This window comes from Homo sapiens, chromosome 7 (genome assembly GCF_000001405.40).
Source record: "Homo sapiens chromosome 7, GRCh38.p14 Primary Assembly".
In the NCBI taxonomy this organism is placed as follows: domain Eukaryota; kingdom Metazoa; phylum Chordata; class Mammalia; order Primates; family Hominidae; genus Homo; species Homo sapiens.
The window spans coordinates 12,361,780-12,375,433 of NC_000007.14; the positions used below are offsets into that span (position 1 = coordinate 12,361,780).

The 13,654-nt window shown below is 33.7% G+C and overlaps 1 protein-coding gene across 4 annotated transcripts in view; it reads right to left on the reverse strand.

Moving 5' to 3' along the window:
• The window catches only part of VWDE (von Willebrand factor D and EGF domains), a 72,981-nt gene that overhangs the window by 30,895 nt on the left and 28,432 nt on the right, over positions 1 to 13,654 (reverse strand). For 2 of the 4 annotated variants that reach the window (NR_144534.2, NM_001135924.3), the window contains exons 8-13: positions 13,231 to 13,448; positions 12,910 to 12,983; positions 11,198 to 11,468; positions 8,877 to 9,085; positions 7,766 to 8,730; positions 5,578 to 5,714 (exon numbers count right to left, since the gene is read on the reverse strand). Coding sequence is in view for 3 of the 4 variants with exons in the window: in NM_001135924.3 (NP_001129396.1) it covers positions 5,578 to 5,714; positions 7,766 to 8,730; positions 8,877 to 9,085; positions 11,198 to 11,468; positions 12,910 to 12,983; positions 13,231 to 13,448 (1,874 nt within the window). In the remaining variant the exon portion in view is untranslated. The remainder of the gene's footprint in view (positions 1 to 5,577; positions 5,715 to 7,765; positions 8,731 to 8,876; positions 9,086 to 11,197; positions 11,469 to 12,909; positions 12,984 to 13,230; positions 13,449 to 13,654) is intronic. The other 2 variants (NM_001346973.2, NM_001346972.2) reach the window with 1 other exon arrangement.

Below are 13,654 nucleotides of genomic sequence, written 5' to 3' on the forward strand. Positions count from 1 at the left end.
CATATACAATGGATCACTATGTAACGACTTTTGTAGCAAAACACACTTGACTATATAGATGACACACAGTGGATTGATTTTCTGCCCAGAAATTCCTTCATTTCTCCTGCAAAAGCTTCCATCACCTCATCTACTTGAAACTGTCCTTTCTGCCCCCTACACAATTCCCACAGGGTCTCTCATATTCCTATATGACCAATCTCCCTGACTATGCTTGACTGGTGCAGGGGCGGACCTAAGCTAGGCCAATATTTCAATACTCATGATATTTTAACTTTGTACCAATGGAGATGTCATGTCAGTTGGCCTCTGATGGCTTGAGTTGCAAGACACAAAACTATGGAGTGGTTGGTGGCCATTTTTTCACTATGGAGAGAAAGCCAGTATATAGTGAAACAGGAAAATGAAGCCCACAAACAAAAGCCAAATTGAGACAAACATACACACACACACACACACACACACATAAAAATGCACACATACTGAGTCTTCATGGTGTTCAAGTCCCAAGTTCAAGATTTTTCTTGAGAATTCAGCTACTTTCTTATTCTTGATTCTCTAAGAAATATACTATCCTCATAATAAATATTTTTGCTCAAGTTAGTTTATTAGTAATTTGAAACTAAATAAACTCTACTTAGTTCACTCTACTTAATAACTCAGTGACACATTATGCTTAAGCTACACTTTTAGTATTGTTTTTCAGTATGAAAATGCACTGGTCCCAAAAGAAGAGAAGCCAGCATAATGTTCCAGGTACGGATAACTACGTAGGAAACCAAAAGCTATATTTTGCTGTCAAAATTTAGATTTAGATTTTTCTTTGAAACTTATTACTGTCAAATGTTTTCAACCACTCAGAATTTGTCATAGAGCATGCTGATGCTTCAATATTGTGGGTCAGCAGGAAAGGGAAAGGAAAACATGATCACCCTAATCTGCAGCTAACAGAAATTACGTTTTTGAAGATTTGATGATTGAAAGAGTGAGCTGCAAATCTCCATATTTAAGGGAGTATGGAGAGTCTAGCCTAGCAGATCTACCAGTGGTTTCCCTCTTGTAGAAGAAGAATGATGATTTCTCAGAGTAGTCATGATATCTACACTTAGGTGAATGTACAGTCTCGGTTTCTTGTGCAGAAAGAAAGCTCCAGCTAATGACTGGCAATATAGAGATTATTCCCAACTTTCTATTTCAAGGGGCCTACCCAAAATGAGGAATATACAGTGTTCTATTTCCTTTTCATTCATCAATATTTTGTGAGTATATATTATGTGCTGAAAATATCTCAGTGAAAAAAGATCACAAAGAAAATGACAGACAATATATAATTGTATTATTGCATTAAAAGAGACTCAAATAAGATATAATACAAAAGGAGTTATTAAGTCTAACTAACTAGCACAGTCAAAGAAGCCTTCAAAAAAGCAAACACTTCTCTTCCTGAAAATAAAAAGGGAGACTGCTATTTGGACACTGGGAGCAGAAGTGGAAAGAGTGCAATTCACATGAATGGAGGGAATAGTGTATGAAAAAGACAGGGATGCATGGAACAGCATAAACAGGAAGTTCAAGCCTACAAATATAGACAAGAGCTAAATCATAATGTGCCATCCATTTCTTGGTTAACATCCTGTATTTAATCCTATAAATCAGCAACCTTAAAATTGGATTTTGTAGAGTCTTGACTGCTTTGGGGGAGGAAGTGAAAGAAATGCTTAAGTGGTTGAATCTCTAGCTAAAGACTTGCTTAAAACTACTAATACAAAAGTAGAAAAAAGCATGTAAAATATGTTACACTTTATATTAAAAAAAGAGTTTCTATCCATTTTTTGTACCAAAGAAATATAGTAAGGATTAACCAGAAAATGATGACAGTAGAAACATACTTTAATGAAAAGAAGGAGTGATGGAAAGCAGATGACAGGGATGACAAGAAAGTAACAATTCTATGTGCATACCTTTGTATAGCTTCAACTCTTAGAACTATAATATTTCATATACCCTCCAAATAATTAAATAATTATAATCAACCAGAGTGTGGAAGAAACTCAAAATGGAAGACAAATATTTTTAAAACCTAGTTGTATTATAAATAAAACAGATAACCACTCTAAACAGAGTGGAAAATAGTTAATCTAACTCACTTTGGAAAGCAGTATCTGCCTTTATATTGTGACCTTGTTTCATGAATTTGTTTTTTTACAGAGGAAAGGCTTAGAATTTCTGAAACTGACTTACATATACATTTAGATTGAGAAACCAGGTAAATATATTGTGGATCATGAGAGCCAGTTTTCACTTGTAAAGAAAAGAGTTACAAATAAGGAAAGGAGAAGGCTAGAATGAACCTTATGGCACTGCACTGAAATCAGAAGTATCAGTATCAACTCACAGAGATGACAGATAGATAAACCGATAGATAGGTAGTTACGTGTGTGTATAAGTGTACATACATAGATTTTCTAACTGTATCCATTAAAAGGGCCAAGAAGGATTAACTACCCTGTAACAAGAAGCACACCTTGCACCCAAGTCTTGGATTTTAAATGACCCTCTTTGATAAATGGAACTACAGTCTTTAGAGAAACAGTTGATTCTAGAGTTGGGGTAGGAAAAATATGAGTCTGGAATATCATATGATGCCAGAATGTGATAAATTGTTCAAAAAATTATGGGAGCAAGTTAAAAGGACGTGTGAACGAATTTGTAATAGTTCCCAATGGTCAAAGCTAGAATAATTTAAACAGCCAAATAAAGAATGATAGCATTGAGTTATAATTCATGAAATAAGTTTCCATTAGTCTACACTGGCATGAGTAAATAAATGAATAAATAAATTGGAAACAAGGAACAGCTCTTCCTTTCAGTAGAATTCCAGATAATATGTGTAGAAGAAATGATGGAAATAGAAAATCACCACTGGTAAATACCATAGTCATAATTGCTACAAGCAAAAATTATAGTTGGATGCTAAAATTAGGAAGAAAATGTTTGAGGAGCTATCATATATTTGCATAATCTAAAAGTGTCTCCCTACAACGTATTTATTAGTTAAAAAGGGAAAAACAGGGAGCTTAAAGTGAAGATACATGGCAAAAACCCCTTAAGTAAGTGATCAAAATTTACATTGCCCGTGATTAGATACATTGCATCATGAAAGGATGCACTAAAAATTGTACAACATGGCATGACCTCAATCTAACCATAAAAAAGGAACATTCCACAAAATAACTGGCCAGTGCTCTTCGAAAGAACCAAGTGTGCAAAAGATGAAGAAAGATGGAGCACCGTCACAATATTCAAAAGAGCCAAGTGTGCAAAAGATAAAGAAAGATGGAGCACTGTCACAATACGAAAGAGACTGAAGAAACATGACAAAATGCAGTATAAAATCTTAAATTAGATCCTGAATCAGGAAAAGGACCATTATTAGTTGGACAACTGGTAAATTTACAGAACAAGGTCTGTAAATTTGTTAATAGTATTGTATCGAGGTGAATTTTCTGATTTGAATAATTATTTTATGAATATGGTTTATAAATAAGATATTAACTTTATGAGAAACTGGGTGAAGAATTACTGGAAACTGCATTATTTTTACAATTTTTCTGTGAGTATCAAGTTATTCCAAAATAAAAGTTTTTAAAAATTACTTCGTAAAATGGGAAGTCATTAAGGATTTTGCATGACCTGATTTCCAAAATGCTAGATTTTAAAGAGGAACCCAATCTTCGAAGGGAACTGAAATTTGAACTAAGAAGGTGAGCAGGAATCGATTCACGTTGACTGAACATGTAATAGGGGAGCTAGGAGAAGACATTAGCTTAGTGGCAGGGCGAGCACATTCCACACAAAGTGAATGCAAGGCTTTGAGCAGGGCCCATGTTCGTAGGGTTGGGGATCCTAAAATAGTGGCACATTAAACAGACTTGACTGGAGGTATGAATTAAAGGCTAGAAGAGCCTTTAAAACCCAGCACTGGGCAAGACTGGCGCTAGGAGAGACAGACTTAACTTCAGCACAATGTAAAATAAAGACGGATATGCACTCTAATTTTAGTTTGGGCAAGTGAACATCTTTCTTTCTATAGTTTTTGATTTGGTTTGGCTCTGTGTCTCCGCCCAAATCTCATCTCGAATTGTAATCCCCAGGGATCGAGGGAGGGACATAGTGGGAGTTGACTGGATCATGAGGGCAGTTTCTCCCATGCTGCTCTCATGATAGTAAGGAAATTCTCATGAGATCTCGATGGTTTAAAAGTGGCAGCGTCCCTCTTAACTCCCTCTCACCTGCCACCTTGTGAAGAAGGTGCCTCCGTCTGCCTTCTGCCATGATTTTATGTTTCCTGGGGTCTTCCCAGCCATGTGGAACTGTGAGCCAATTAAACCTGTTTTCTTTATAAATTACCTAGTCTCAGGTAGTATCTTTATAGCACTGTGAAAATGGACTAATACAGTTCTGTATAGTGTGTTAGAGGATTCCAGATTTTACTCTGTATTTATCAGAAGTTTGCAGGAAGTGGCAGGTAGTATGAGAGTAAATCACAACAAACAATGCATCTGAAGGTAAGTACAAGATGTGCTTTCCAAGAGAATATAAATCTACAAAATTCGCTCCTGGCACATCACTTAGTTTTCATGTGATGTCATATGATTTATTCTGCCATGACTATTACAATGTCTATTCTCTTAAGTGATATTAAAATTACTTACATGTACCTTTCTATTTTGTCTTATTACTTCATTGGGATTAAAATATTTCATGACTTACTTAGAAAGCCTCCACCCATAAAATCCTGAAGTTAGCATACTTGTGTTTAACTACTTGATAAAGACACATACAAACCTATTTCCTCCTGTAAATTCTCAATCTCAGAATCACATTTGGCTTCATTAATTTAGAGAAAAAGTAAGAAGAATATTATAATGTGGTTTGCTGTCTTAAGTTTTCAGCTTACCTACATATACTTTTGAAATTCATAGAGTCATCCTTAAAATAAAATTTCCATGTGAATAAAGACAAGGAAGACCATTTAAATAATCATCAAAAATAAGGTATAAGTTGATATACTAACGTTCAAACTGATCATGTCTGTTTCTGTGGCCTTTAGAAAGATAAATACTATTTTTTAAAGGTGAGTCTTTTCTGTCTAAAATCCATAGTAAGGAAAATATAAAGAATAAATGCAATTAGTCCTCATTTTTTGATTTGTAAAAGGGAAATGTTCATATCCAGTTGATGCAAGATGTCTTGGCTAAAAACAATGTCTCTTCTTTATGTTTTTACATTTCAAGAAATACAGAGGCTTACATAAATCAAGCTTGATATTCTTTTAGCTTTTTAATATAAGTGAAAACAGTGAGCCGATACTTCAATAAAAAGTTTATAAGATATTTTAATAAAGTTAACAAAGAAGCGTCAACATTATGTAACTTAATCATTTTCCTGTTCAGCTCTCTAGATATAATATCGTTTGGATTTATGTTGCTAATTGATAGACCGAATTAATCCAAGATAATATTAATCTGAGTATCTCATACACTCTATTGTTTCTGAACTCTATAATTAACATACCTGTAGCTTAGTAACTTCACATTTAATTGAAGGTAATTCTTTGAAGCCTTTGCCAAAAACTCTCACCATCATACAATTATATTTTTGAACATCACAGAATCCAGCATTCCCAAGCTCTGTAATTTCAGGAGCTTTGTCTTTGGAAAAAAAATATAACAAATACTACATATTTTACTTAATTTCAGAAAAAAAAACTAATTATTTCCAAGCCCCAAATTAAAAGCATATGGAAAATAATATTTTAAAGTATACCTAAAATGCTGCTTACAACACTAATTAAGCCATTAAATGTTAAGAGTAATCTGGTATTAGAAGAGGTATCTACCATCAAACCAATAATAATATTACAAACACTACCAGTCCTAAAATCACAGGTTTCACTAATGTTTAATAATATTTTATATCAATTAAGGACAAATATTAAGAAATTACCACTACAATAAAGTACATTTTGGTTTTGCCATTTTGGCTTGTGCCATATAGCTGGGTTATAGAAAAAAATATTTCTGTAATAAAATATAGTAGTTAGTAATGCAATGTATTAAAATTTCAAAATGTCATCTGTATCAGTAACATCTGGTTGTCAAAATGGGTATATGCAGTGTGTAAAAATTATTAAACCCCTTGCCTAACTACTGGGAAAACCTAAGTGAATACAACTCTACTAGCAGTAGGGTAGAAAATCACGTGTATTCAGAACCTTAAAAATCTTGATGAAAATTTTTTTTAAAGCCTGGGTTACTTCAGTCCATACTTTCACAAATTCAACAAATGTTTAGTAATTTTTATTTATCTGTTGCTATTCTAGGTACTGGGGATGTAGTAATGAACAAAACAAAAGTTTCTGCCTTCATGTAATTTGCATTCTAGATGGGAGGATTAAAAAAAAAATAAAAAGATAAATATAAATTATATTACATAATTGTTTTCAGGAATATAGAAAAAATTATATTAACTATATTAAGAGAGATTAAGACCATGGAATTGTGTAAGAAAAACAAGTCTATTTTGAATGACCACAGAGGATTTTCTGATAGTATGACATTTGAACAGAGAAGTAAAGAAAGTAAGTCATAAAGATCTGTGGTGGGAGAATCCTCCGGTGAGAGGGAGCAGTGAGTGCAAAGACCCTGAGGTGGAAGCAGGCCTGGCTCCTTTGAGGAACAGCAAAGCTGCCAGTGTGGCTGAAAAGCAGTGAGCTGGGAGAAGAATGCTAGATGAATTCAGTGAGAGAGGAACCTCAGACTACCTAGGGTCTTCTACGCCATGGTAGGGATTGTGGACTTTACTCTGAAGGAGATGGAGAGCCATTCGAGCTATATAAACACAGGAGCAATATGATCTCACTCACATTTCAGTGGGGTCACCTGCTGCACAGAAATTTAGTTTTGGGAGAATCTACGATAATCTGAGGGGGAAATAATGGTGGCTTGGACTATGGTTGTAGCAGGGAAAGAAATGAAATGCTTTGAAGCTGGAGCTGGATTTGCTGCTAATGAATTAAACTTGAGGCATGAAGGAAAAGGACAGGCAAAAATGACTACAAGTTTTTAATGTGAGGAATTTACTAAGAAGGAAAAGGCTGTAGGTGGAAAAGAGCAAGATGGTAAGAATGGGAGGGAAATCAGGAGTTACTGGTTTACTTATTAAAGGAAACAAAACTTTTTACAGTTTCTTTGTCTAACATATTAAGAGAAAATATACTGTATAGATAGATGCATTAGAGAAAAAGAGTTTTAAGCAAATCAGTATAATTAGCCAAACTATATAAACACAGTGCTTTAAAAATACTAAATTTGAGTTCTGGGAAAATAATGATTCCCTATAGGTAGAGGGCCCAGTTGTGTGTAAAGGCCCTGAGGTTAAATGATCTTGGCATTTTCAAAGGACAGCTCAGAGGAGCTGGAGTGGAACAACAGGGTGACAGTAGCAGGGAATGAGTTTAGAGAGCCACTGAGTGCCAGATCACACTGTGCCTTCTAGGCTGTTATAAGTTACTTTGGCTTTTACTCCAAATAAGATGAGATGCTGTTGGAAAGTTAGTAATGTGTTCATTAATATGATTTGGAGGTTTTCTCTATAAAATCTGAATAAACACTGTTAGGATACTGAGGGTGAAATAAAGATCAAACACATTTTTATAATGAAATATCACATGCAATATCAAACTTTGAGAGTACTTACTTACCATAGGAATCACTGCAGTCATAGGAACTAAAGCTTGGGGAACACGCACACCCCCATTCCATGCACTGCCCATTGCCGCTGCATAAATTGGGGCATTTTAATACTGAGAGAATGTCTTCAATTGATGTGCCATACTCTTCTGTGTTATATTTCCCCTCCTCCACAATCCTCTTTTCACATTCATTTTCTAAAAGGGCCACACCTGCTTCTGCCCAACTAAGATCATCTTTTAACAGAACATCCTTCACACACATCTCTATAACACTGTCTAATCTCTTGCCAAGAAAAGCAAGACACAGCCTTCCTATGCTGGAGTTGGCTAGAGTCTCCTGACAGAGGGTCAAGGTGCTATACTCGGTGAGGCCAGAGGGAGTGGGCCAAGAGGGGAAAAACTCTTGCTGTACATCCTCAGCATGGTCCTCTGGGAAAAAATAAGTAAGTTCTTCCAGATCCGTTTGGCTGAGACTCGGGAAAGCAAACAAAGGAGGAAACTCATGAAAGTTCTGCCGTTTCCATCTGTTTTGTCGATTGTACCTCATTTCTTGGCTGTGGCTTCCCCGGCCTTGTGTATATTTCTTATTGGCCAAATATTGTAGTGAATCTTCTTTCTCATTTCCAGGATGTTTTTGTACATTTAAGCCGAGTTTAGTCAGGTTTATGTGTTTTTTTTCTTGCAGAAATAAATTTAGATTATATTCTTCTGGAGATGTATGCTTGTTTATCTCTCTGACAAGAGTGTCTGAATTAATATATTCGGAGGTGACATCTAGTTCTGGTATCAAAGAAGATAAGCTGACATGATTGAGGTCTTTGCAACCCAAGGCAATTTCTGATCGAGAAACACTGTCCAGATCTTCGGAAGACGGATACGCTGCAGTGTCCAATGAACAGCTACAATAGGATGGCTTTCCAGGTGATGTCATAGAAACTGGCAGTGTGTCAGACATGCTTTTTCCTGGTAAAATCCTTCCAGATGGAAAACAGGAAAGAATAGTAATTTTGTACATAAACATTTGTTTCCTAATATGTGTTGCAAAAAAGCAGAGTGTTGAGCCACCACCCGTTTTAAGTCTAATATTAATATAATCGCAAGTGGAAAAATAGTGTCTTACCTCCATTCATTAATAAAAGCAACATAATTGTTAAAATTTTGATCAATTTGCATCCCATTTTTGTCATGGAAATCATTTTCCGGATTTTCATCAAAGGTTCCACAAAGTCCCAGAGTGTTTCTGTAATCTACACTAGGGGCTCTGATCGTTAGACTCATGCCCCATTCACCAAGATCAGCACGGATAAATGCCCCAGAAGAAAACCAGATCTGAAAAACAGAAATAAATACAGAAATAAAAGATGTTGAAGCAATATTCAACCTGGATTAAGAAAAATCTATTATTTAAAAAATAAGAAATAGTTATTCCCTCAATATAAAAAAAGAATAAAATACTGATTTTCTTGACTACAACTTTCCTCTTAACATTCTATGTCAAAATATGGGTTTTTGCATTTTGCTGACCTGAAATTTGATTACCATACTGATCTTTTTATTGAAATATATTGCTTGCAACTTCTTTAAATAATTTAAACAAAAATAAGATAATTTATACAATTAATACATTACAAATATTGAGGAGGATGTTTGCCAAGTAATGTTTCTGATAATAATTATTTAATACAGAATTAGATTGCCAAATAATTAATTTACACAGATGAATATAATTTCAGAGGAGTACATGTTCCCGCAGCTAATTAGCATTCTCTAGTTGCCAGTAGACAAACAGAATCAGAAGCTAAATTATAACTAGAAGGTAGCTTGGGGAGTTGGCAATCTGAGCAAGGAGAGTTTGCTGAATGACCCTAGTAGCCTGTGCAATCTAACTGTGAACCATCTCTCCCATCACAGGAATATCACCTCTTCCAGACCAGCCACTTTGATGTACTGTGTATGTGGAGAAGCTATCTCTTCTAAAAATCACTGAAGATACACAACTGTGTTTGCTCTTCTGGTTGTTTTTCCCCTTTTAATTTTCTTAAAATTTAAAAATAACTCTTTTTTTCTCTTTTTACAAAAATGGTCTGTGTTAGTTACATTAAATTATTTTAAAAACAAATTTTACTTTCCAAACCAACTTAAGGTAGCTAATATTAAGATCTTTGTGCAAATTCCTCAAAAGCCTCTTTTATATTTTGGGCATATCTTCGCCTGTCAATAAACACACTCACCTACTCCAGCATTTTCATGACTACAAAGTATTCTACTATATGACATCATTATATTTAGAGTTTTAGTTAAACCTGTTTATTGATCACCACTTAACTATGACTTTTTCATCTTACAAGGAAAGATACAATAAACATCACTGGGGGTATGCACATCCTTAACTATTTTTTTTTACAATAAATTTCCAGAAGTAAAATTTCTTGGCAAAATGCACACATAGGTGCAGGTTATATATGATATATATGTTCCCTGGAAAGACTGTTACTAAATGTACTATCTCTACGCTTCCTGATATTGTATGAAAGATGTTCAACCTTTATTTATCTATTTGACTGCTAACGAGGTTAAAGTTTTCATATTTTTGTTGGTTTTTGTACTTTTGAACATATCAGATTTCTTTTGTGAAAAGGTTTTTTTATATTATTTGCTCATTTTAATCGGAGTGCTGATTATACATTAGTGATGCATGAGTATTTTCTATCTGACCTGTTTTATACGTAGCAAATATTTTCCTAATTTTTGATTTGCATTTTGGTTTTCAGTGATGGAATTCAAATATATAACATATTTTCAAAAATGATTTTTCACTTCAGTAAATATTATACAAACAGAAACTTAAATTTTTAATACTTTTATTTAAATTTAAATTTGATTTACTTGGAATTACTTGTTTGAAAGATGAATGGAAGGTGGCTATGACCTGAAAATACAAATAGTTTACTCACAGATATGAAGTATAATCTTTAAAAAAATATTAGCCTGCCAGGAGTAAAGGAAAAAGAATTAAAAATATTAGTGAATATATAATCTTAGGTTTGTTTCCTGACTTCATATTCTATTACACTTATCTACCACTGTATTCATTTCAAAAACTGGTTGATTATTCCTAAATATTTGTTCTTAATTATGTCTGTCATCTCTGTCTAATATACTATTTATTACACGTTGTTAAAAGTAATTTTAATGAATAATCCACCAAGTTGTCATGCTGAAATGTTAAATAAGGCAGTTTAGATTTTACATGGTTTTAATGATGTTGTGTCTATTTGTGTGTGGTGAGAAAAATGTATTCCCTCTAAGATGATGGTTAATATAAATGCTATTTTCTTAAACAAACTAATGTTGAAAAATGATAGCTCCTAATTTAATAGAGATGTTTATCTGAAAGGAGAAAAAGGAAAAATACTTTCAATGTTAAAGAATCATACATACTGTGACTTTTCTTCCTAAGTAAGATTCACTTATCTTGATATTCCTGGTTACATCTTGGCTTTTTATGAACAAATATGGTTGTGATTCACGTAGCTGACCATTGCACATATCAAAAGTAACTATATCACCTCCTTCCTGGGCAACAAACCCACAATTACATGACACTGGATAGTGAAGGCTTCTGCAGTCCCACTGACGTACATGGACTTCAAAATCACGTGACATACTCTTATAAAGCACAAATGTTCCAGTCTTGAAATTATCATATACCCTATCATTAACAAAAGGCAATTGCATTAAAAAATCGTGTAAAATATCACAATAGTATGTTATTGATTTGCAACAGCTTTATGTATCACGATCATTTTGTTGTATGCACTGAAGGAAACAAAGTAGTCATAAACACCTCAATCTCTCCCACTACTCCTTTCTTCCCTTTCACCACTCCAGTCAAGCTGCTCTCCTTGAGCAGGGCAGGCTGGCTCAATGGTCTTCTCCCCGTATGTGTATGCACGTGACCATCTCCCTCATCTTTGAGTACTTGTTAAATGTCACCCTCACCAAATGGCTTTTCGTAACCACTCTATTTTAATATAAATTCCAACCCCTCTTTTCAGCCTTCCCTTTCCACCCAATTTAGTTTTCTTCACAGCAAGTATCTTCCTCAGATACACTTTATATTTTACTTATTAAATGTGTTTATATCTCTCTTCCCCTTTGCAAAAGCCAGCTCCATGAGGGTAGAGAGTGTTTGTTTTGTTCACTGCCATACCCCCAGTACTTAGAACTTGGCTTTTCACCTAGTTGTTGCGTAATTAATCTTGTTGAATTGTCAGATTACATTCATCACTACTACACTTTCTCGAAATTTTTCCACTAAAATGTCTAAGCTTTTAGTTATAACCGTAAAGGATTCTTGCCCGTTAGATCAGTTCCTTCAGGTTCTTAACACCTGTTGACACCATTGGAGTATAACTCTCTTATAGAACAGTCTCTATATATTGAATAATTTTACTGACAATTATCATATTACAATTTTTTAAGCAAACCACAACCATTTGCATCATGAAAAAAATGTTGATGCAACACTAAGACATTCTTATCATTTTCCTTACAGACATCTCAGAACCATGAATCTCCCAGAACGATATAACTGAGTTTAAATCTTTCTATACAGGTATTGATAACAAAATAGTTTAGATTACTTTTTGGTCTTTTGCCTATTTTACTTTAAATTCCAGAGGCAAATATCCAGGTATCCATAATAGTTATAATAGTTTTTTTCCTGAGTATTCTTGTCAAGACTTAGGAGTAATTAGTTTTAAAAATAATTCTAATATGTTTAATCATTTTGCCTAAACTTAAAGATTGTTTTATTATCATATGGAAATGCTATAAACATCTTTAGAGTAAATAATTTAATCATTATTAAAAATTTAAAGAGTCTAGCAAAAAAGATTCTCTGCATTTGTAATAATATTTATTTTTACAAGTTCAGCCTTGCAGATAATCCATGTTTTTTACTAAGAATTAGATTTTAAGGCAAAAAATTCTACACAAATAAACTAGTATCTTGAAACAAGCCAGTAATGCCTTTCTGTCTAATTTCAGTGACTAGGACTAAAAAATTATAAAACAATACACTGTTTAAAATAAAACAACAAAATCAAAGCAAACAAAACTACTAAAAGAAGAAACTTTCAGAAAATTACCTGCCATCAAATGTAATTATATGTGGGTCAGTAAATGTATAGCAGTAAGCAGTTGGGACATCCTTTACTTTGATCTTAAAAGCAAAGATATTTTTGGTAAATATTACCATTAATTATATTTAGTGATATATAAAAAATTGCTTAGCAATCTCAACAAACTTTCAATTAATTATTGTTTTTATCATAGTTATTGAAAATTGAATCATTTAAAAACTAATTTACCAAAAAATTTTTTACATAAAAAGTTTATAAGACATAATGATAAAATACACATTTCTTCTTAAAGCTTCACTTGCAGTATTAGTGTTGTAATTTGTCAACCTGGATGCTGTCTGGAATGTAGTTGTTCCACAGGAAATCCTCATTAACTATTGGTTGCACTACAATGTTTGAGACTCTATCTCCATCTCGAGAAAAATCTGTGACAGCAGTGTAGTACACAAAAGTGTGGCTACAGGTTCCATTAGCACAGGAAGATGTCTGGAGAAGGTCCACATGACAGGAAGACAGTGCCAAATTTAAGCCTAGGTGCTCTCTACCTATTTAATGAAAAAATAGGTTTAAAAATTTCCAAGAGAATATACTAACCAAAGCATGTAATAAATTAATTAACATGAAACACTGAATTGTAAGATTATTCTCAAATTATTTTCTCTTTCTTAAAACATATGGTTGCAAATTTTGTCTAAATTAAGCCAAAGCTATTGAATCTACCTGATTTTTACAAAGAATTAATCAACTATAA